This window comes from Homo sapiens, chromosome 4 (genome assembly GCF_000001405.40).
Source record: "Homo sapiens chromosome 4, GRCh38.p14 Primary Assembly".
In the NCBI taxonomy this organism is placed as follows: Eukaryota; Metazoa; Chordata; class Mammalia; order Primates; family Hominidae; genus Homo; species Homo sapiens.
In genome coordinates, this window is record NC_000004.12 from 87,300,197 (window position 1) to 87,324,140 (window position 23,944).

Sequence of the window (23,944 nt, forward strand, 5' to 3'; positions counted from 1 at the left end):
GGACAGGGATTGGCATTTCCCCCTTACGGTTTCTCACGTAATTTGTGAAGACATAAACACAAGGGTAACTGTTAAATTCGTTGTAATTATCACATGTACAGAACAGCCCAGTTCACATAATGCTGCACTAAATTCAAAGTTAGTGTTATAAAAAAAGATGCCTCTAAAACATATGAATTACCTAGGAGTTTTTAAAAAATGCAGATTCTGATTTTGTAAGTTTGAGATGGGTTGCAACAGTTTGTATTTCCAACATGCCTCTCATGCGGCAGCCATGCTGCAAGGGCATGTTTAAACTTCCCCATTTACACAGGCCATGAGCCCCGAAACACCCATCAGCAATCCTGGGATGGGTGTTTCGGGGCTCATGGCCTGTGTAAATGGGGAACTTTAATGTTAGATGTTCATTCCATCTTTGGAAACATTATTATATAGATCATATAAGATTTAGATTAGAAACTAACCAAGCATTTTCTCTTCAACCATACATTTACTCTGCTACTCCTTTAAGCTTTGCATACAGTTGAAGATTGGCTGTACCTATACCACCCTCAGATCTGAGCAAGTGAGGGCCTTACCCCAGTCCTGTGCCTCATAGAGCCTTATTCTTTGGAGTGCCCTCTATGAAATTTTCCAAGTCCTCTTCGGATGCCTGCTCTGTTTTTTCTCTCTGGGGTACTCTCCCTTTCTCTCCCTGTGTATAAGGTTGACCAGATATCCTGGGGAGCTCTGCAACTTGTAACTATAGGATCATCCTGGGGTCTTGTTTCCAGGCTTTCGTTTCAGGAGGGTGGCCTGGAGAGCAGACTGCTACTTCTGGTTGGCAAAGAATTTCTTTTGCAGGATTACATGAAATTTGGCTGCCAGAATGATGCTGACATGCTGATTTTGGATAATTCTCACTCACATTGGGCATAGATCTAATTTAGGGTTGTAAGCTATCTAAGGTCCACTGCCCAAGCCGCATGTGTTGACCCATGCATCCACTCGCAGTTTGTTCTGAGTATGATGCCACTTCTGCTATATAACATCCAAGGGCTGCAGGGTGACATCAGATGTCCTTACCCCGCTTGCCAATGGCATTCAGGAAAATCATCCTATCCCCTCTGCAGGTTCTATGCCATGGGTCAGGCAGTCCTTTTGGCTGGGGGTTGGGGGGTGGCTGCACTTATCTCTTCTGAGGGCTTTTAAGACTATTGCTTCTTCACAACAGTGGGCCTTTCTGACTGATGTGATGATGCTGTGTTCTCTTCTCCCTGGTCAATGTTAAGCTCTCCTAGAGGAGGGACAGACATTCCTTGTGCAAATGGGGCTGTTCATTTTGTTCTGTCCACAATCCCCTCTCTGCTGCTGGTGGTGTGTGGGAGGTAGGGTACGGTCAGGAGTGGCAGAGATCAATTCTAGAAATGTAATGATGATGGCCTAAAAAGTTCAAGACAAGACACAGTTGAAAGATGTGTTGTTCTATGTGATGCTATAACATTCTAAATGATAAATTTAAAATGAGCAATAAACAACGAATCATTCATGTTTTCTCGTATATATACCCTGGGTAAGACTTGAATTTGTGATTATCATCAAACATTGTACCAGTAACAATTGTACTATATTGAACTGTGTTGTACCAGTAACAATCTTTGAGTGATTGTCTCTGAGTGATACCCAGTATTCATGGGTAGCACAATGGATGATGCAATGTCAAAAGGCATAATGTAGCTAAGATTAAATAAATGGTAGCAGGGTATTGGAAAGGGGTGAAGATTCATATTATTTTATTACAAACATATTACAAAGAGCCATGGCATTATGAATAATAACAGCATTGCTACCCTTTCTTGTGGTAAAAGATATGAAATTAGCTAGGAATGGCTCATTTGATAAAAAAGAAATGATTCCTGGACCAAAGAGATAGTACCAGGATGCCGAGAAGAATCTTTACATGTACTGCTCGGACAATAAATACACAAATCTTCCTATTATTCTAAATCTTTATCAAAAAATCACTATACTGCATGCACATGGACCTATAAATTTTATAAAGCATTTTTAATAAAAGTGTTTATATAGATAGAAGCCCTGCAAAAAAATATTTGTCTGGTGATCTGCACATCCTAGCAGTAGCCCTTGGAACTGGGATTTTGGTGAAAGAGAGGGCTCTTAGAGAGAATTATAGATGAAGATTGTCATAGGAAAACATTTGGAAGCTCAGGTGGAGCTTTTTATTTTTTTGAGACGGAGTCTCACTCTGTTGCCCAGGCTGGAGTGCGGTGGCGTGATCTTAGCTCACTGCAACCTCCGCCTCCCAGGTTCAAGTGATTCTCCTGCCTCAGCCTCCTGAGTAGCTGGGATTACAGGCATGTACCACCATGCCCAGCTAAATTTTGTATATTTAGTAGAGACAGGGTTTCGCCTTGTTGGCCAGGCTGGTCTCGAACCCCTGACCTCAGGTGATCTGCCCCCCTTGGCCTCCCAAAGTGCTAGGATTACAAGCATGAGTCACCACGCCTGGCTGCAGGTGGAACTTTTAAGGAGGAGGACTACACTCAAAATAAGCAAGAAAAATGGACAAAGAGAGATGAATATTTTGCTCGCACATTTCTCTGAGCTTCATTCATAAAAGATTAAAACCAAAATGGAATTAAAATAAGAAGTTTTCTGCTCTGAACTTAACACTGGAATTTAAGAGGTTTCTATTTTTGTCAATATGTATATCATAAAATATTTTTTAGTTGCCTGTGTATGGTAATAGTTCGTCCGCAAAATGTTCTTTCTCAGCGTGCTCTTCCCTGACTCTACTACTTTAAATGCTCTCTCTCATATTTGCAGTCCCTTTATTGTTTGTCCCACCTACTAGAATGTGAGCTCTGTTAAGACAAGGAGTTTGCCTTATTCATATATGTTTCCCTGGGCCTAGAACTTTGAGGGCACTCAGTATTTGTTAAATTAATATTTAAATAGATGAACTAAGAAATACTGGAAACATCCTAAGTGCCTATCAAAAGGGAATGGTTAGAGTACCATTTTAGTACTGTGTACTCATGAAAAAAAGTTGAATTCTCTATACTGAAACAAACAGCTGTTTGTGATAAGTTGGTAAGCTAAAAGAGCAAGTTACAGAACATAATGTATGGTATGAAACTACTGATACGACCCATGCAATAAGAATATAATGTATTTGTCATGAACATGCATCAGTAAAAGACTGGAAGATTGTGCATTGACAGTGTGACCTCTGGGAAATGGGATTGCTGGGGGTAAGCTTCTATTTTTTACTTTCCATGTTTCTCTTTTGAATTTTTGTAACCATACTTTAAAAATAATACATTTTACTCATAAATTTCTTGATTATAAGGCAAGAAATTAAAAGAATGTTATGAAAAAAATTATTGCCGGTGACTAAGAAAAAAAATTAGAAACAATAGCACTGTGCTTAATCTCACACATAGAAAGGGGTCAGTAAGTTCCAGTTGATAAACCAGCACTCCTGCTGTCAAAGAAACCAGAGTTGAGAAAACCCCTGGATTCATTTAATAACTGCCAGATGTAGCTGTTACCATCCACATCCTTGGTTCTTGAAGGACACTCATAGAGACAGAGTTTAGAAGTCAAACGTTTTATTTTATAACTACAAGAGGTTATTTTTTTAAAGCACAATGACATATTTATTTTTAGTGAATTGTTTTTGTGACTTTTAAAAAAATCATTTGTTTTTAATAAAAACAAGAGGATAGTCCATGCAAAAGCATTCTATAATACATGTGAAAAACACACAAAACAAGATTAGTCTTGATGTAGTGGGAGTCGGATTATTTTTTCTATTAAAAAAAAAAAGGCTGGGCACGGTGGCTCACACCCGTAATCCCAGCACTTTGGGAGGCCGAGGCAGGTGGATCACGAGGTCAGGAGATCGAGACCATCTTGGCTAACATGGTGAAACCCCGTCTCTACAAAAAATACAAAAAATTAGCCGGGTGTGGTGGCGGGCGCCTGTAGTCCCAGCTACTCAGGAGGCTGAGGCAGGAGAATGGCGTGAACCCGGGAGGTGGAGCTTGCAGTGAGCTGAGATCATACCACTGCACTCCAGCCTGGGCGAAAGAGTGAGACTCCATCTCAAAAAAACAAAAAACAAAACAAAACAAAACAAAAACCAAAAAACCTTTCTTTCTTCCTTTTCTTCTCTTGGGTCCATTGTTTCTTATGTAATAGCCAGTACAGTTCCTTTTCCTGTGTTAGCTTTAATTTTTGAGCCTAAAATTGTCTAAACATCTCTGGGACCAAGGATATATGAAAGCATAAATTACAAAGAAAAAGGTTATCATGGGGCTAGAACTTAAAATTCTGAGATTTAAAATAGAGTCGGTCACCTTTCATAATGTATCTTATAAGACTATAAAAAGGGAGGAAATATAGAGGGTCCACTTTTGGTGGACTTCAGAGTTATACAGAAGACAGAATCAAGTAATAAAGTCCAGAATAGAGTTGCACCGTTTTGGGCTAATGAAAAAGGAAGAGGCTAGGGAAATCTTTCAAATGCTGAATCTTAAAATATGTCCAGGTTGAGATAAAGCTGCCTGCTGAAACTTGATCTCTTAGCTGTGCACTCATTCTGTGTTCTTGTTGATATTCTGTGGCATGGCTACAGATTGGAATGCTACTTGAACAGTCTTAAACCTTCCCTGTGTAAATAAGTTCTCTTTGTATTTACTTTTAGGGAGGTAGCTTTTGTCCACCTTTAAATGGAAAAATAAAATATCTTAAAGAAAACCTTTTAAGTATGTTTATGTAAGCACAGAAGTTTTTAAGAGGCATGAAAGGAAAAACAGACCTATGAAAAACTACGTAAATATTCTTGAGAAACAGGAAGACAGGTAATTAATCTTGTTCGTTTGACTGCTGCTAGTGCCAAACCAATGTTTTTAATATTATCAGGACTGAAAAAATGTGAAATAAAGCTTTGCAGCATTGATTCGAAACTATTCATATCATTATCATGCATACATCTCTGGCTGGAGCTTATTTATTCATTTCATTTTGATTTTGTGGCCAACCACTGCTTCAAATTGAATATTCTGCATACGATTTAAAATCGCTGAGGCGCGTTCAGGAAGAAACCTGTACAAAAAAGAAAAAAAAATTGAAAAATTTTCCATTTAAAATCTTTGACAACAGAGTTCTGTTTTTGGTCATTTAGAATACGCTGAGAGTTATCTGGTTTGCGTTTAACTTTCCTCCGTTCTTTTCTTCTCTTGCAACCACCTCTCTTTTACGTGTGCATCTTTCTTTTTCTTTTTTTTTTTTGACATAACTTCATAGTGGACTTCATTAGGAAAAGTGTAAAAACATTCAAATTCATAAAATTGAAATGAGACAGTAAAATTATGCCTTGTGGCTATAGTAATTGCTATAGTAATCACAAGTAAGGTAAAGTCTAAATTATTGCCTGAACACAGAGGTTGCAGTGAGCCGAGATCACGCCATTGCACTCCAGCCTGGGCGACAAGAATGAAACTCCATCTCAATAAATAAATAAATAAATTATTGCCTAAACAAACACTATTTTGTCAGGCTTCTGCTGCAAGCCCAAGGCAGAAAACATTGCAGTTATTAGAAGTCAGCCCAATTATGAATCTGCATTTGAAGCTGGAAGAAAGGGGAAAAAGTGTGTTCTGATTACAGCATCAAGACATTCTAGCCTGCAAAACAGTAACTTTATTAACGTCTTGCAGCGGAGTACGTTAATAATCGTAACCATGCATTAAAACTCTCATTTCATGTCAAAAAGAGAGTAATCAGTTTTCCTCATGATTTATGTTTTACTGAATTTCATACAGTTCGTCCCTCTGAAAATGTTTTTAGGAACATTCCCTCTCCAAGGAGTGCATCTTAAGATACCCAGGTTGCTTACGACAGGTCATCTTTGGTCATTTTAAATCAATCTGTCTGAACCTATGTGTGCACCTTTGTAATATTCATAGTTCAAATTGGATGCAAATATAAATAAAGCACTGATACATACCACTCTTCTCACTCTCTTATCTGATATGAGTAAAGATCTAAAACTGAAGGTCTGAGCTCATTGCTGAAACTGCTGATTAATCTTGATGCTAAAAGCTCACCAAGAGACACCACCAGAATCCATTCTATGCAAGCCTTCACCTCTCCTTTACTATTTACTGAATATCTATTATGCACTCTATAATAAGGTAAACTAAAGTACTTGAAAAATAGCTATTGTCTTTGATATTGTTTAGCTGATAGGCTAAAATGGTCATCTTAAAACAATTATTGAAAAATATCAGCCATCTAGAATTAAGGGCTATAACTGGAAGGAGGATTCACATGGGCTGGGATAGTGGAGGAAAGCTTCAAAAGGACAACTGATGTCCAGGAATGCATAAGAGATGAGTAGGCAACTGAAAGGAAGAGAGTGGCTGGCCCGGTGGCTCACGCCTGTAATCCCAGCACTTTGAGAGGCACAGGTGGTCAGATCATGAGGTCAGGAGTTCGAGACCAGCTTGACCAACATGGTGAAACCCTGTCTCTACTAAAAATACAAAAAAACTAGCCAGGTGTGGTGGCACATGCCTGTAATCCCAGCTACTCAGGAGGCTGAGGCAGGAGAATTGCTTGAACTCAGGAGGTGGAGGTTACAGTGAGCTGAGATCAAGCCACTGCACTCCAGCCTGGGCAACAGAGTGAGACCCAATCTAAAAAAAAAAAAAAAAAAAAAAAAAAAAAGGAAGACAGTATGTGAATGTAAAGAGGCAGAAATAATAACATTCTGCAGAGAAAGTCATATTGAAAATCACTTTGGTATTGTTGACTAATGCAAGATTTACTTCCTTGTTTTGGGGGTAGGTGGGTGAAAGATGGAATGAGCAAAGGGGCAGGGAAGATCTGGCTGAAAGAAGGACAAGGATAAGAAGAGAGCTCATGTGGGCCTTTTAACTACCCTCACAAAGAAACCTTCATGCTAGTAATTGCATCTGCTCGTAAAATTGTGTCTCTCTATAAAAGGAATTAAATGCAAAGAAGATTAACAATATATACCTGTTGCCTAGTTACAAACCACCATGACAGCTTCAAAGGATACAAAAGACTTTGAGACTCTTGTTTATTTTACTGGGATACTATTCTCCAACTCAGGCAGAATAATTGTTTTTATCACCTTGGTCATATGCATGTATATGCATGTAATTTTCAATATTAATATGACTTGCTTTGGGCCCCAAGAGAGTTGGGGTTCCATGAAACTCACTTCCTACAGTGCTTAGTACCAAGACACTAATTTAGTCAACTTTTATTTTTTTTCATTTTTTTAAAAAATTTATTTTTCCGAGACAGAGTCTCCTGTTGCCCAGGCTGGAGTGCAGTGGCACAATCATGGTTTACTGCAATCTCCGCCTTCCGGGTTCAAGGGATTCTCCTGCGAGTGCCTGGTATTACAGGTGCAGGCCACTATGCCTGCTAATTTTCGTATCTTTAGTAGAGCTGAGGTTTCACCATGTTGGCCAGGCTGGTCTCGAATGCCTGACCTCAAGTGATCTGCCTGCTGTGGCCTCCCAAAGTGCTGGAATTACAGGCGTGAGACACCACACCCGGCCTAGTCAACTCGCGAGATGATGTTGCTTGGGGGTCAAGGTTCTCCTTATGTTATCTCAAGTCAGTCTATTTAAGCTAAAACCAAATACTGAAATTGATACACCAATGCAGTTTGTACCCTGTTCTCAAATTGTTCTATTTCAAGTTTGTTCATAGTTTATATGGATTTGTTTCAAAAAGGCCCAAGGCTTATGAAGTTAGTATAGTTATCTTCTCACTGATACAATTTCAATTTAGAAACTGCTCCTCAGAAGAAAGCTGAGAGAGTATTTCCTCTGGGAAATTGTTGCTGTTGCTATTTCATATAAATTCTGTTCTCTAAGACTTTAACATTTGAAGTCTATACATTTTCAGTGACAGGGGCTTTGTTTGTATTACATTATTTTATTCTTATGTCATCCTTATAAAGAAGATATTATCAGCATATTCATTTGGCCAGGTGCAGTGGCTCATGCCTGTAATCCCAGCACTTTGGGAGGCCAAGGCAGGAGGACTGCTTGAGGCCAGGCATTCAAAACCTTTGTTGCCTGGGCAGCAAAGTGAGACTGTCTCTACTAAATAAATAAATAGGCTGGGCTTGGTGGCTCACGCCTGTAATCCCAGCACTTTGGGAGGCTGAGGCGGGCGGATCACCAGGTCAGGAGATCGAGACCATCCTGGCTAACAGGGTGAAACCCCGTCTCTACTAAAAAAAAAAAAAAAAAAAAAAAAAAAAAAAAAAAAAAAAAAAAAATAAGCTGGGCATGGTTGCAGGCGCCTGTAGTCCCAGCAACTAGGGAGGCTGAGGCAGGAGAATGGCATGAACCCAGAAGGCGGAGCTTGCAGTGAGCCAAGATTGTGCCACTGCACTCCAGCCTGGGCAACAGAGCGAGACTCTGTCTCAAAAAAATATAATAAAAATAAATAAATAAATAAATAAGACATTCTAAAGACATTAAAAGGATAATAAGGGAATGTTATGTACAAATTTATGCCAAAGAAATTCTACAACTTAGATGAAATGGACAAATTCCTTGAAAGACACACATTACCAAGAATTAATAAGTAAATTGAATAGCCATGTAGCTATTAAAGAAATTAAATTTGTAATTAAAAACTTTCCCATAAAGAAAATTAGAGGCCCAGGAATCTACCAAAAAAAAAAAAGCTTATCGAGTTTAGCAAAAAGAGGTTTAGCAATTTAGCAAGACTGCAAAATATGAGATCAAATTACAAAAATCCAATATATACTGACAACAAACAATGGGAAATATAAAATTTTTTAAAATGCCACTTGCATTAGCGTCAAAAACCGTCAAATAGGGCTGGGCATGATGGCTCATGCCTGTAATCCCAGCACTTTGGGAGGCTGAGGCAGGTGGATCACATGAGGTCAGGAGTTCGAGACCAGCCTGGCCAACATGGTGAAACCCTGTCTCTACTACAAACACAAAAAGTTAGTTGGGCGAGGGGGCAGGTGCCTGTAATCCCAGCTACTTGGGAGGCTGAGGCAGGAGAATCACTTGAAGCCAGGAGGCAGAAGCTGCAGTGAGCCAAGATCACGCCACTGCACTCCAGCCTGGGCAACAAGGGTGAAACTCTGTCTCAAAAAAAAAAAAAAAAAAAAAAAAAAGAACCCGTGAAATACTTTGGAATAAATCTGACAAAATATGTGCAAGACTTAAACACCAAAAACTACAAAATACAATTTAAAGATTTAAAGATTTTGAAGAAGATTTTAAAAATAGATATTATGTTCTTGGATTAGAAAACTCAATATTGTTGATATGTCAATACTCCCCAATTGCTCTATAGATTCAGTGCAATCCCAACCAAACTTCCAGCAGACTTTTAAAAATGGAGTCTTTATTATTAACTACTTCACTATATTGCATTCTTTTTAAACTGTGTTTCCTTTAGTTAGAATAGTCTTCAGCAAAGTTTGGGCAGAGACAGTAGATTTGGTAGAGAAAATGAATCACTCTCTTTTTATAGACTGGGTAGGAAAATAACAGAGGAAATAACTGTTCTCCCCAGGGATGGAGAGTTTCCATGCCAATTTTCACAACTGAAAGATGCTCCATAATAATAGCTCTATTGGGCCAGGCATGGTGGCTCATGACTGTAATCCCAGCACTTTGGGAGGCCGAGACAGGAGGATAACTTGAGGTCAGGAGTTCGAGTCCAGCCTGGCCAACATGGGGAAACCTGTCTCTATCAAAAAATACAAAAATTAGCTGGGTGTAGTGTGGCAGCACACACCTATAATCCCAGTTACTTGGGGGTCTGAGGCATGAGAATTGCTTGAACCCAGGAGGCGGAGGTTGCAGTGAGCCAAGATCATGCCACTGCAACCACCGCAATCCAGCCAGGGTGACAGAGTGAGACTCTGTCTAAAAAAAAAAAAAGCAAAAAAAAAAGCTCTATTGGTGTTTTAGTATTTGGGTGTTCTGTGCTGTACTTACTTCTGTAGTCTCAGAAAGATATTGATATACGATGGAACAAAAATCATTTTCTTATTGGTAAGTATTCCATCTATCAGACTTCTTACGACTTCATCTGTCTCCAATACAGGCCATAATCTGTGATTAAAAAGAGGAAAATATTATTTTTATTTTCTAAAATTTTAATTTTATAAGTAAATGATGGCAGGAAAATTATCCTATATTTTTACTAAATTTAGAATGAAGATTTAAAATATTCCAGGATTTGCTGCATTAATGCCACCCTACCCACTTCCTCCACATCCCATGTTGATGTTTTGTTATCAGAAACTTATACTTTCATATCCAGTAGGTGTGTTTCATAGCTCACTTAGTCAAAATATCAAAATGGTGGCGAGGCATTAGATGGTAAGGAGTAGTGGAGCCAGACAAGAAAGAGGAATGGCTAGGATTAATCATGGGACAGGAAGGAAACATCTGACATCTCAAAGCCTGTTGGATGCAAGGAGAAAATTCTATAGCTAAGTATACTTTCTTTCTTGTGGAGGTATTCCATAAAGCTGGATTGTTTTGAGGTCGTCATTTTGTCAGAGGCGTTTAAATCAGAGCAACTCCATCTTGAATAGGGTCTGGGTAAAATAAGGCTGACACCTACTGGGCTGCATTCCCAGGAAGTTAAGGCATTCTTTGTCACAGGATGAGATAGGAGGTTGGCACAAGATTCAGGTCATAAAGACCTTGTTGATAAAATAGGGTGCAGTAAAGAAGCCGGCCAAAACCCACCAAAACCAAGATGGTGATGAAAGTGACCTCTGGTTGTCCTCACTGCTCATTATAAGCTAACTATAATACATTAGCAAGCTAAGAGACACTTCCACCAGCACTATGACAGTTTACAAATACCATGGCAATGGCAGGAAGTTACCCTATATGGCCTAAAAAGGGGAGGAAATCTCAGTTCTGGGAATTGCTCACCCTTTTCCCGGAAAACTCATGAATAATCCACCCCTTGTTTAGCATATAATCAAGAAGTAACTCTAAATACCCTTGGTGGAGCAGCTCAAGCCATTCTTCTCCATGGAGTAGCTGTTCTCTACTCCTTTACTTTCCTAATAAACTTGCTTTTGCTTTGCACTGTGGCCTTGCCCCGAATTATTTCTTGCGAGAAATCTAAGAACCCTCTCTTGGGGTCTGGATTGGAACCCCTTTCCGGTAAGAATTTCGTATTTGAGATTCACCTCTGACTTGCCTATCCTGCAGTTTAATGAGAATTTAAGAGGGGCCCAAGGAGTATGACAACTGGAGGTATGTCATACTTCCAGTTTTCCTTATACTGAAGGCTGTGTACATGTACTCTTGAGAAATATTCATAAACATAGGCTTAGTGTAGAATTGTCTGTTAGTGCAAGATGATGACAGAAAAATGGATTTAAAATGTTGTATTCAAATTAAGATGTCCAGGCATGGACTGAACAGCCAGTGAATGTAAAGGCTGGGTGAGGAGTTAGGGAGCCAGCGAATGTTAAAACTTCATTCCCTGGGATGATCTGTGGTTTGCTGCAGATTATTATGTGATTGAGTTCTCCACTGCCTTGAATAGCAAGCCAACAGAGAGTAATACAAATCAATACATTTCTAAATTACTCCGTTCTGCCCTTTCTCTCCCTGATTTCATCTACATGGATCCAACAACCCAGCCTCGGAGCCAAGTGTGACATTACATATCAATGCCTTAGCCCTTACTAAGGAAATTCACAATCTAGCAACCTCTATAAAATCAATCCCAAATATTTAGCATTGCCTGTGTCTACCTCTAAGTTAGCCCCCAGGAACCCTGTACCCAGAGTTCCATTATCCTTACTCCCCTCATCTATCATGCCTTCCCCAAGAGTGGCAGGATACCCTTAGGAAAGCTCATGGTACACGAAGCCTGAATGCCTACCAAGAGGGTTTTTATTGGGCCCAATTCCTTGTCTAAGAAAACAATCAGGAGTTGCAATAGTACTATAGTATTTACTTACATATTGCATACTTATTAAGTACTGTGAGACAACGTAGCAAATGTAAGAAGCCACGTTTACTCACTTCTGGTTGTCAGCATAATTTCACAAAGTCCCTGACTCTGTGACAATGTGCAGCTCTCTGGAAAGATGCTTTGAAGACAATACAGGATAGAGCACATGGCCCCCACTATCAGAACAGTTCAACTGAACCTCTCTAAAGGGCTGCTCTCAGGCTATAGGCCTCCGACTGTAGTCTTCAGTAAGGCTTCTAAATAAAATTAACACCTTTAATTCTTTTTTTTTTTTTTTTTTTTTTTTTTTTTGAGACGGAGTCTCGCTCTGTCGCCCAGGCTGGAGTGCAGTGGCGCGATCTCGGCTCACTGCAAGCTCCGCCTCCCGGGTTCACGCCATTCTCCTGCCTCAGCCTCCCGCGCAGCTGGGACTACAGGCGCCCGCCACCACGCCCGGCTAATTTTTTTGTGTTTTTTAGTAGAGACGGGGTTTCACTGTGTTAGCCAGGATGACCTTTAATTCTTTAAAAACTTATTTTTTTGGCCGGGCATGGTGGCTCACTCCTGTAATCCCAGCATTTTAGGAGGCCAAGGCAGGTAGGACACCTGAGGTCAGGAGTTTGAGACCAGCCTGGCCAACATGGTGAAACCCCGTCTCTACTAAAAATACAAAAATTAGCCAGGCGTGGTGGTGGGCGCCTGTAATCCAAATACTCAGGAGGCTGAGGAAGGAGAATTGCTTGAACCCAGAAAGGCGGAGGTTGCGGTGAGCTGAGATCGCGCCACTGTACTCCAGCCTGGGTGACAGAGTGAGACTCTGTCTCAAAAAAAACAAAAATAAAAACAAAAACTTTTTTTTTTCTTTAGTCAACAGTACCTATGGTCTAACACCATGAAGGACTCCAGTGGCAGGGAGTGATTCCAGCTGCAGAGACCACATAGCTAACTCAGGCTGTAAGAGTCAGTATCCTCAAATGAGGCGGCACTCAACAGAGAATTGTTTAGTTCTTTTGAATGAATATATTTAGGATTAATTCCCTTCCAGTAAAAAATTGGTTTCGAATCATTAAGCTTAGTATATTTTGTTAACCTGCAGCAGAATATATACTAGGATTAGAAAAATTTGTTAAGCAGATGGCTTAATTTTCGGGTTCTTATCCACACCTTCCTGCTTTTTTCTTCTCCTTTCAGGACTAATTTTTCTTCTCTTGTGGTCTCAAATCCTGTCTCACCAGAGACAAGAGTTCTTGCAGAAATTCACCTTGACTAAGGAGCTAGATACTCAATTTATTTGCTGGTCCTTGGAACATTTGCATTTTAAAGACAGGGTGGTAACGGTGATCAAATGTATGTGCTTTCTCCCGGACACAAATAAATATCCCAGTTCATCGGTGGCTGATCATTCCTGCTAGTCCCTAATGTGTTTTCCCCCTTTATTCCTTTAATTTCAAGATAATAATAATAATAAGAAAAATTATTTTTCCTTCTTCATTTTCTTCTATTAGTTGGCCTGCCTAAACATTTCTCATTAGTTTTCATATCAATTTATCATACCACATACCCATTCTAACTTGATTTTGACCTTACCTTGTGCTTGGATTTTTGGTGAACCCAGTATTCACAAAAACTGGGCAGAGACATGAGGTTTTGATACCAGTTTTTCCCAAGGCCTGAAGTTCTGATGTCAGACCTCTGTGAAAGCCAACAGCGGCAAATTTGCTGGAACTGTAAGAGAATTATTAAGCATTGTTAGCTAAGGGAGAGTGAAACCAATCCTCAGCTTTCTGTGAGAAGGCGGTATCATTTGGCTTAAGAACAAGTGGAAGCCAAAAATCAGCCACTTGTGATTTTTCTGAGAGTATAAATGGCAATTCATTTTCATTTTCTTACATGATTAAGCAGAATTGTGAACGTATCTCATTTCTTAAACAACAATGATAACAAAAGAACAAAAATAACTCTATTGATTGGCTTAATGTTCAGTTTTCCATCCTACATGTAAGGTTTTTCCATTGAATCTTCAAACTGTTTTCTAATCAGTTTTTATTGCTGCTTTTATTTTGAAAAATATGAATCAGGAAAAATACATTTAGAAATTCTACAAAACTGGTATCTGTGTTGACAGACTTCTGTAGGACTCTGCTCATTTCTCCTCTCTCTCTCAATAACTGAGTTATTCTCTTGACAATGGTTGATAGTTTTTCTCTTGACAATGGTTGCCACTTTGGCCTCTTAATTTTATTATGAGGATCTGGAGAAGAGTTTACAGGAAAGGATATTTGGCAAATACAGCAGTACATCCTTAACGCCTCTCACCTCCTTCCCTTTATGTCTTTGGTGGTGCATGGAGTGTGGTATCTGCAACTTTTAGTCAGGTAGAGTCGTTTTCTCTCTCTCTCTCTCTCTCACACACACACACACACACACACACACACTTTCATGGCACAAGCACACTGTAAAATGTTTTGATCCAGGGACCACTCTGATTGTCTTATCTTGGGCACCAAGGCCATGACATAGACATGTGTTCATTTTAGCTTCTGTAGGTTTTGCTTCTCAGTCTGTGGGGTTTCTGTTTCTTATTCCAGGAAACAATGGAAACATGCTTGGCATTACTGTTTTCTCTCATTGTTCTACAGAGGAGTTTGCAGAAATCTAAAAATATCTTAAATATAATTACAACCTGGTTTCATTGTTTTAGAAAAAGTCATTTAAAAAATCATTCTAAACTACTATAAATTTAAATTCTGTAAATCCAAATCACTCTGCTCTCAGCATTGTAATCTTGAGGCAGGAGAACAGGGTCTGGAGGCAGGGAACATAAGGCCGATTCATGCTGACTTCCTAGAACTAAATCAAATGGAAACACTCCAGCTATGACAGGAAATATCCTCTCCATTTACATATGGTGTACACTGAGTAAACGACTCTGTAACTTTAATTCATCCTCTTCATTTACATAGGGCGTACACCAAGTAACCAGTGGAAACCTCTAGGGGGTATTTAAACCCCAGAAAATTCTGTAATTGGCTCTTGAGCCCCTGTGCTTGGGCCCACTCCCACCCTGTAAAGCGTACTTTCATTTTCAATAAATCTCTGCTTTTGTTGCTTCATTCTTTCCTGGCTTTGTTGGTGAGTTTTGTCCAATTCTTTGTTCAAGATGCCAAGAACCAGGACTCTCCAGTGGTAACAATTTGAAGTGTAATGCTCCCTTCAAAGTATAAAAATATATAACATGGCTGGCATGTGATACTTACCAATATGGGATGAGGTAAGGAATCCCTTCGTGGCCGCACACTGAAGCCACTGTGACGATGTGGCCATGATTTCTCTCCATCATCGATGGAAGAAGTGCTTTTGTGATCTTAAGGATCATTGCAGAAAGAAGAAAGACAATGACATAGACGTTAGGTTTCCAAATCAGGTAGTTTTATTTTTGTTAAGACAGAAAGGCATTTGAGAGAACTTATACAATGAAATAAAATACTTCCAAGCATTCCATGATTAATTCTTTACAAATGATAGAAATAAAGATACAAATTTATTGGTATGGTAAGCCCCATGCCAACACTAATCTCAGTACTCCCCCTCCTTCCCTTCAGAAGGAATCAAATAGATCCTTTTTTGGATATGTCATCTAAACAATATTAAGGGAAAAATTCAGAGTTTTCAGAACTAAAATTATTCCTTATGATAATTTGGTGTCATATAATTTTTTGGTTTGGGGCTTTATCATTCTAATTAAAAGAGTGAAATCTTGTGTAACTGTATTAAGACAGTTGAGTAGTGTAAGCTGAGAGTTCTACACCACACTAATGAATCATGATTGAATTCACTATCTCCCTATTTGTAATATTGTATATTATATGTTGATGTTACAGAAAACAAGTCTTTCTTTTTTTCCAAAAACCTCTTTTGTGAGAAACATCAATAAAATTTTATAAGAATTTAATAAATCCTATGCAAATTCATAGAACTAGAACTCCCAACCCAAGCTACCTCCAAATTCCCAACCCATAGAAACTGTGAGAGGATAGTGAACATACATTGTTGCTTTAAACCACTAAGTTTTGTATAATTTGTTATGCAGCTATAGGTAGCTAATGTATGAGGTCTCCGTGTAGTTTGGTGGGCATGGGAGCCAATTCACATATGTGAAGAGCTGGTAAAGGTAAGGGGGACACATCTCTTTTTTTTCTTCTTTCTTCTAGAATCCAGATCTGCCCTAGATTCTACACTAATATTGAGGCACTGGAAGATTAATCATAAAAATTTCTATACAAAGGCAGTTGAAGTTGATATTTCCATCTCCCACAAAACTAACCAATTATATGAGGTCTGTATAGCTGCATTTCTCAGTTCCAGCACCCCATGGATCTAGAACACTTGCCTCAGAGTCTCGTCCAAAAGTGTCCTCGATCCTATATACATCCAAGTAATTACTTCTGATGTCCTTTCCATTCTAAAATTCCACAAAATGAGGACACATTACAAAATCATGGTGTGGAGGGAAAAAAATGAAGTCACAAGTGACAGCATTGAAAAGATGTACACTGACAACCCTTAACAAACCTCCACAAACATTTGTTGAGCTCCTGGTACATGCCAAGCTTTGTGTCAGATACTGGTGGACAAGACAGACCAAGTAGCTTACATTCTGGTGTGTTGTGTCCACTTGAATTCTGTGTCCTTGTGTCAGAGACTCTGTGGCTCTTCTACTCAAACAAATTTAATGATTCTTGATTAAGGCAAAGATCTGGCCAGTTTCCTGTCCAGAAGTATGTGAACTCCGTTATAAGTTTCATGTATCTTAAGAGAAGGTGCACAAATCAGAAATGTTTCTGACTCACACTCACCCAAAAATGTCCTAGGATGTTGACCTCAAATGTCTTGGTAATCTCTTCATCCTTGGTGCTGAGAAGATCGGCTGGATATACTGTCCCAGCATTATTCACCACGATTGTTACATCACCCACTTCTTTCTTCACCTTTTGAAATTGAAAGAACACTTTCACTGGGTGTATTATTCAAACTCAAAGTTTTGGGACCAATATAATCCAAAGATGAGAGTCTTTCTTCTATTGTATGAGGTCTCTCAGAGTTCAGGCAAGACAGACTGTTGAGCTCAAATCGTGGAGGCCAAGGGAACACTGTCATAAAGGTGGGATAAACTGTTCTTTTAACATCTAAATTTCAGTACCCAGCACATCATGTTTTGCAAGTTTATCAGTAAAGTGAAATTAACATTTATGTTGATAAATTCCTATATAAATTCTGACCAAATATTTTTAAAGTGTTCATTTTTTAAAAATGTGTTTTTCTTTAAACTTTTTTTTTTTTTTTTTTTTTTTTTTTTAGAGATAGGGTCTCACTATGTTGCCTGGGCTGGTCTTGAACTCTTGGTCTCATGTGATCCTTCCACCTTGGCCTCACAAAGTGCTGGGATTACATGTGTGAACCACCGCACCTGGTCTAAAGTGCTGGTTGAGAAATCCTGGTTTCATAACCTAATAACTACATGACCTGGGTCTGGCTTAACCTCTCTGAGTCATAATTTGCTTATCTGTAAAATGAAGTTTACAGAGTTATTGTAGGGATTGAATTAAAAAATGTAAAGTTTGTTAGAGTGCTTAGTTCATTGTGATTATTTGGTATTTACTCTTTTAAAATAATTGTGATAATAATTATTAATATTACATTTTCTACAGAAGACTACATTAACACCAAAATAAAATCTCACAAGGGAAATAATTAAAGAGAAGCTGGAATTACTGCAAAGTTAATAGGACTAAAACAAAACTAGGAAGTGATCCATATTCCCTGATGATAAATCTTTTGTCAGTCACTCTGTGCCACTGCTCACACTTCTGATCAGAATGAAATTGATTAATAATATGAACAATAATAATGGGCAGAGCTGAGTGGATTACATACAAGAAAAAAAGTATATATCCTTCCTTGGTGACATAACTACTTCAGTTAGCAGCTAAAATCCAATTTAAATCAGGCAGTCATAAAGACCTTTCTCATTTTCCACGTCAGCGTCCTAGGAAACAAAATAATCTGAAGAAATTTGTGAACCTGCAGTCTCACCTGATTTAGAGAGCGATAGATCTCTTCTCTGTTGCTGCAGTCTACCACATACGCATGCGCAGTGACGCCTAGTTTTCGGCACTCAGCTGCAGTTTCCTCCACACCGCGCTGTAATTAGGAAGAAACAAATTCCGAAAAAAGTGGAGGAGAAGACATTGGAGAAGAAAAATTTTTAGACAATTAACATTCGGCTAGGCGCGGTGGCTCACGCCTGTAATCCCAGCACTTTGGTTGGCCGAGGAGGGCGGATCACGAGGTCAGGAGTTCAAGACCAGCCTGGCCAACATGGTGAAACCCCGTCTCTACTAAAAATACAAAAATTAGCCAGGCCTGATGGTGTGGGCCTGTAATCCCAGCTACTTGGGAGGCTGAGGCAGGATAATTGCTTGAACCTGGGAGGAGGAAGTTGCAGTGAGTGGAGATAGTGCCACTGGACTCCAGCCTGGGCAACAGAGTGAGACTCTGTCTCAAAAAAAAAAAAAAAAAAAATTAACATTCATGTCCAAAATGAACAATTAACATTCATTTTGGACATGAAGATTAGTTAACCTTTTAAAAATTGGCCTCCTGGGTCAGGTGTGGTGGCTCACGCCTGTAATCCCAGCACTTTAGGAGGCCGAGGAGGGTGGATCACTTGAGGTCAGGAGTTTGAGACCAGTCTGGCCAAAATGGTGAAACCCCATCTCTACTAAAAATACAAAAAATTAGCTGGGCGTGGTGGTGGGAGCCTGTAATCCCAGCTACTCGGGAAGTTTAGACAGGAGAATCACTTGAACCCGGGAGGCGGAGGTTGCAGTGAGCTGAAATCATTCCATTGCACTCCAACCTGGGTGACAGAGTGGGACTTCGTCTCAAAATAAAATAAAAATTGGCCTCCTTATTTGTTAGAAAATTTCTTGAGAGTGATTGCCTAGTTGCAATGAGATTACCCCTGGCTTTTCTGCCAGGGAATGCTCATATTAAAACCAAAACAAACAAAACAAAACAAAATCCCTTCATGCTTTTTTCAGCTTTTCCTCTTGGTTGGAGGCTGTACAGTAGGCAGTTTCTCTAAAGCAGGCTACTTTCAAACCTTGAAGAACATTCTTGAAAAACATTGCTCTTCGTGGTGTCATGGAAGATGAATATGGAGAAGAAAGAAAAACTCAACCATTAATTTATCATACATTTGTTGAGCACCAACTATGTAATAGGCAGTAAAGTGCTAAGTAGTAATTCTAAACTAGTGGTAATGGTAAACTGTATGCCTCTGCCCATCATATTTTTCTTGATGATTCTGACTCATCCTCCTAGGAGGGAAGGGAAAGAAGTCTCCTTAAAGAAGAAGGACTTTCATAGGGAGACCATGCTGCTACTCTAGGAGATATAACATTACATTCTTCAGGTGTTTGGGAGTGAGATGGGCAAGGCCACTGGATGGATTTCTCATTTATGTACCAAACTTGCCCATAACCATAGGACATGGAGACAGAGCAATTTACTTTCAGCCTAAATTCAAAGACCTCTTTCCTAAGATAAAATTGCTCTAATGTTTCTTGACTCACATTCTGGAAAATTATAATTCTTTTCAAGTTTTCACCTCAGGTGACTTTTATAGAAAATATTATAAGGTTTTAAAAATTATACTTTTCCGTCTCACAATCTGTAAACTCTTCTCTGTGACAAAGAGGCAAGGATACCTGAAAAGCCCTATTCTTCGTGTATTGAGATGACAGTGGTGTTGCTGCTATTTAGGGCAAACCTTGAATGAGTGGTCTCTGGGTCCTTTGTATTTCGCTACTGTAGGCTAAACCCTGGAGCAGCAGCCTGAACTCCCCAAACATGGATGTTAGGACCCAGTCTCAAAGTCAGTATCCCCTCAAATAGCCTTTTGTGGGATTGCAGAAGAGTAAAAAAAGAATAGGAGAGTCTTTCACTGATTTAGTTGGTAGCTTGCTCACTGCCAGATTGCACAAACCACACCATACTCTCTCATTTGTTTCTAGGTCAGTAGAGAGCATAAGTTACCAGAGCATTCATCAGATGTTTTGATTGAAGAATTAATTATTCTTCAGTTTTTTTTTTTTTTTTTTTTTTGAGACGGAGTCTCGCTCTGTCGCCCAGGCTGGAGTGCAGTGGCGTCATCTCGGCTCACTGCAAGCTCCGCCTCCCGGGTTCACACCATTCTCCTGCCTCAGCCTCCCGAGTAGCTGGGACTACAGGCGCCCGCCACTACGCCTGGCTAATTTTTTTGTATTTTTAGTAGAGACGGGGTTTCACTGTGTTATCCAGGATGGTCTCGATCTCCTGACCTCGTGATCCGCCCGTCTCGGCCTCCCAAAGTGCTGGGATTACAGGCGTGAGCCACCGCGTCCGGCCTATTCTTCTGTTTTATAACTGAGCTAGACAATTGCAAAATGTGATGCCTTGTCTTTTTGTTAGCAAAACACTTGCTTTAGCTTAAACTCCAATGTGTTTTTTGAACCGTATTCCCAACGCAACAGTTTAGATTGCATAAGAGCCAAACTGCTACTGTGTCTCTCATCTCACAGGGCAAAAGGAGCCAGTTATGATGAAAACTCAGCCAGCATCTTCCTCGCCTAAAGGAGATCTGAGTTACATTACAGCCTTAGAGTGAATCATTCAGTAGCTTAAATGTTTAACCATGAAATTTAATGATTCAAAGAGAATTTTTGAGGTTGGGTTACCTATTTTTCTTAAGTCTTTTTTTATTTTTTTTGAGACAGAGCCTGGCTCTATTGCCCAGCTTGGAGTGCAATGATGCCATCATAGCTCATTGCAGCCTTGGCTTCCTGAACTGAAACGATCCTCCCACCTCAGCCTCCCGAGTAGCTGGGACTACGGGTGTGCACCCCCGCACCCAGCTAATTTTTGTATTTTTTGTAGAGTTGGGGGTTTTGCTGTGCTGCCCAGGCTGGTCTTGAACTCCTGGGCTCCAGCAATCTGCCCACCTCCGTCTCCCAAAGTGCTGGGATTACAGGTGTGAGCCACTGCACCCGCCCTTAAGTCATTTTTAATACGACTTCCTTCTAATTTACTTTTCTCTTGTCTCTGGAAATTTTAAAATTTAAAAAAAACTTAATAAATATAGCCCTTTCCCCAAAAATACACATCTGGAAAGAGATTTGAAGGTTAGATTTCATCAAGCCCTTTTCATAGATTTATACTTATTTATATTTTTGGACAAATGCCTGAGAACAGCAGGCAACAATTTTCTCTATTTGTAAATTCTTGCTATCTTCCAGAAAGTTCATTCGAATTTCTTCAAAGACCAAAAAGATGGCAAATCATTTTTATATACATCAACTCCTCTATTATATAAATGCTCATATCTGTTAAATAAAAATGTAGTAGCTTTTTTGTATAGTATTCTTCACTATTCAGAAAAAAAACAGAAAAGAATTAGTTCTCTAAGTGTAAGAGACATTTTAGGTTTCAACTAAACATGACAGCAAAGAACATGAGAAAGTAATAATATAATGGTAATTAAAACCACTGTAATTTGCAGAAAATGTGATTCTCAAGGAGTACTTCACAATTTTTCCAATCCTAAAATCCTGTAAACACTTCTCTGCATATATTTTCATGGCCTTACCAGAATTTACAAGTTTAGAGAAAATGATACAAGATTTCAGTTCCTTCAGTTTTATTTGGGGTTGTTAATGTAGTGTTTACAAGTAAGAACACAGGAAAAATACTAATGTCCAAGGAAAAGCCTGACTCACTGCGCACATATTTTATTTAACACAGTTATTGTTTATCATGTGCCACGTATCGTTTATCATATGCTAAGTGCTGAAAATATTACTTATTTAATCCTTTTGACTACGGACTGGCAAACATTTTCTGTAAAGGGTCAGACAGTAAATATTTTAGAACTGTGTTGCTTGTGCATGAGGGGAGGCACTAAAGGTTTCTGTTGCAAGTTCTTCGTTTGACTTTTGTTTGTAGCTGTAATTTTCAGATCCCGTTCTTGCCCATCCCCTAAGTTATTATCCCCACTTCAGAGCCAAGAAAACAGGCTGAGAGATAATATGTGACTTGCCTCATTTAGCAGCTTGGAAGGAGACTGGCTCCTGAGTCTTTCTATCAACCTGCACACCATGTCATAAAAATCGCTGCTTAGTTCTTAATTACATTCCCTTCATCTAACTAACCTGACACATATACAGACTAAGGGACCAGGGAATTTATCAAACTTTGAAAAACAAAAATACAAAGATAAGTAGATGGTAAGTCAAATAATTCTTAAAATACATATCTTACTCTGTGACTTTAAAAAGTTGGAAGATGTATACATTACCTTATTAATATCCCACAGAACCAATATGCTCTGTCGTTTTGCAAATTCATAAGTAGTCTGCCTGCCTATTCCATGCCCAGCTCCAGTAATGAGAACAATCTCCCCAGCCACAGATTTTCTCCTCTGAGGAATGAAAAACTTCACCAACGACTCCAAGTAGGAGTAGATGATGGTGATCAGAAGCAGAAGGATTTCTAGGATGATGTTCATGGCTTTGCTCTGTCCTCTTCCTTCTGGTTCAGTCCTTGTGTAGTCCTAGGGAGGAGGTACTGTCTACACAGAGCTCTAGGGAAGGGGTGTGCCCAGTTGTTAATGGGACTACCAGATGGAAGCCAGCTTTGGAAGCAGGCCTTGTTCACGTGTTCTAATGGGTTTGAAACACCTCAAATATGAAGTGATGCCAAGTGATGCCAAGAGCACAAGAGAGTGTGCTCTCTGGACTTGTTTATCTGAAAAGCAGTTATGTACTATATTTCACCTTGAAGTTTCACCTCTAGAAACAATTCTAGGGGCCAGGTGCAGTGGCTCACATCTGTAATCCCAGCACTTTGGGAGGCTGAGGCAGAGGATTGCTTGAGCCCAGGAGTTCGAGACCAGTCTGGGCAACATAGTAAGACCCTGTCTCAAAAAAAAAAAAAAAAACTATAGAAAAAAATTAGCTGGATATGGTGGCATGTGTCTGTAGTCCCAGCTACCCAGGAGGCTGAGGCAGGAGGATTGCTTCAGTCCATGAGTTCGTGGTGCAGTGAGCTGTGATTGTGCCACTGCGCTCCAGCCTAAGCAACAGAACAAGGCCTGGTCTAAAAAAAAAAGAAAAAGAATTCTGGAGATACTGCATCAGCTAATGATCTGTTGGTATCTTTCTGGAAATTGTTACCTTTTTTCAATATGAAAAAGGAGAATGTAGAGATAAGCTTAAAGAAACTTAGATAAAGTCTGAATGAACCCAGCTTAGCTATTTGATTCATTTATTCACAAAAGCTCAGCATCAATATTTCAACTGGCTAATTATTTTACACATGATGACCATTTCCCTGAAAATCTCTTGAGTTTGGGGGAGATTTTAGGATACAGAACCATCAGTTCCCTTTGTGATAATACTGGAAAGAGCATTAGACCAGGAGTCGGGAATCTCAACTTTAAAGTGGGGTGGCTTCTGTCTTTGTCTGCTGCTGTAACAAATTACCATTGACCAGGTGGTTTATAAATTCCAGAAACTTATTTCTCACAAGAAGTCCAAGATCAAGGCGCTGGCATATTCTTTGTCTGGTAAGAGCTGGCTTCCTGGTTGATAGATGGCTGTCATTTCACTGTCACCTCAAGTGGCAGAAGGAGGAAGGAAACCCTCCGTGTTCTCTTGTATAAGGGCAATTATTCCCATGGCAGAGCTCTCATGACCTAATCACCTCCCAAAGGTCTCACTTCCTAAAACCATCACACTGGGAGATAGGATTTCATAATATGAATTTTGAAGGAACACATGCAGCCTATAGCAACTTCCAATAGCCA

General features: G+C 39.5%; 1 protein-coding gene and 1 non-coding gene across 3 annotated transcripts, besides 1 other annotated feature; both read right to left on the reverse strand.

Annotated features, from left to right (window-relative positions):
* Window positions 1-298: 298 nt before the first annotated feature.
* On the reverse strand, window positions 299-387 carry MIR5705 (microRNA 5705). The gene has a single exon (NR_049891.1). It is a non-coding gene; the product is annotated as a microRNA 5705 (primary transcript).
* A 3,210-nt stretch (window positions 388-3,597) lies between these two features.
* On the reverse strand, window positions 3,598-22,686 carry HSD17B13 (hydroxysteroid 17-beta dehydrogenase 13). 2 transcript variants are annotated; one of them, NM_178135.5, is made up of 7 exons: window positions 22,436-22,686; window positions 18,133-18,240; window positions 16,896-17,027; window positions 15,297-15,403; window positions 13,627-13,764; window positions 10,047-10,163; window positions 3,598-5,112 (listed from the first exon to the last, which is right to left on the reverse strand). In NM_178135.5, the coding sequence occupies exons 1-7, from the start codon at window positions 22,643-22,645 to the stop codon at window positions 5,022-5,024; spliced, it is 903 nt and encodes a 300-aa protein (NP_835236.2). In that variant the 5' UTR covers window positions 22,646-22,686; the 3' UTR covers window positions 3,598-5,021. The 2 variants fall into 2 exon arrangements, with proteins under 2 accessions (NP_835236.2, NP_001129702.1); NM_001136230.3 differs by lacking the exon at window positions 18,133-18,240.
* Window positions 17,381-17,675: an enhancer, noted in NCBI's record as "tiled region #11108; HepG2 Activating DNase matched - State 9:DNaseU". NCBI's record gives its function as "activates a minimal TATA promoter and a strong SV40 promoter by Sharpr-MPRA in HepG2 cells {active_cell/tissue: HepG2}" and the evidence as "EXISTENCE:reporter gene assay evidence [ECO:0000049][PMID:27701403]".
* Window positions 22,687-23,944: the final 1,258 nt, after the last annotated feature.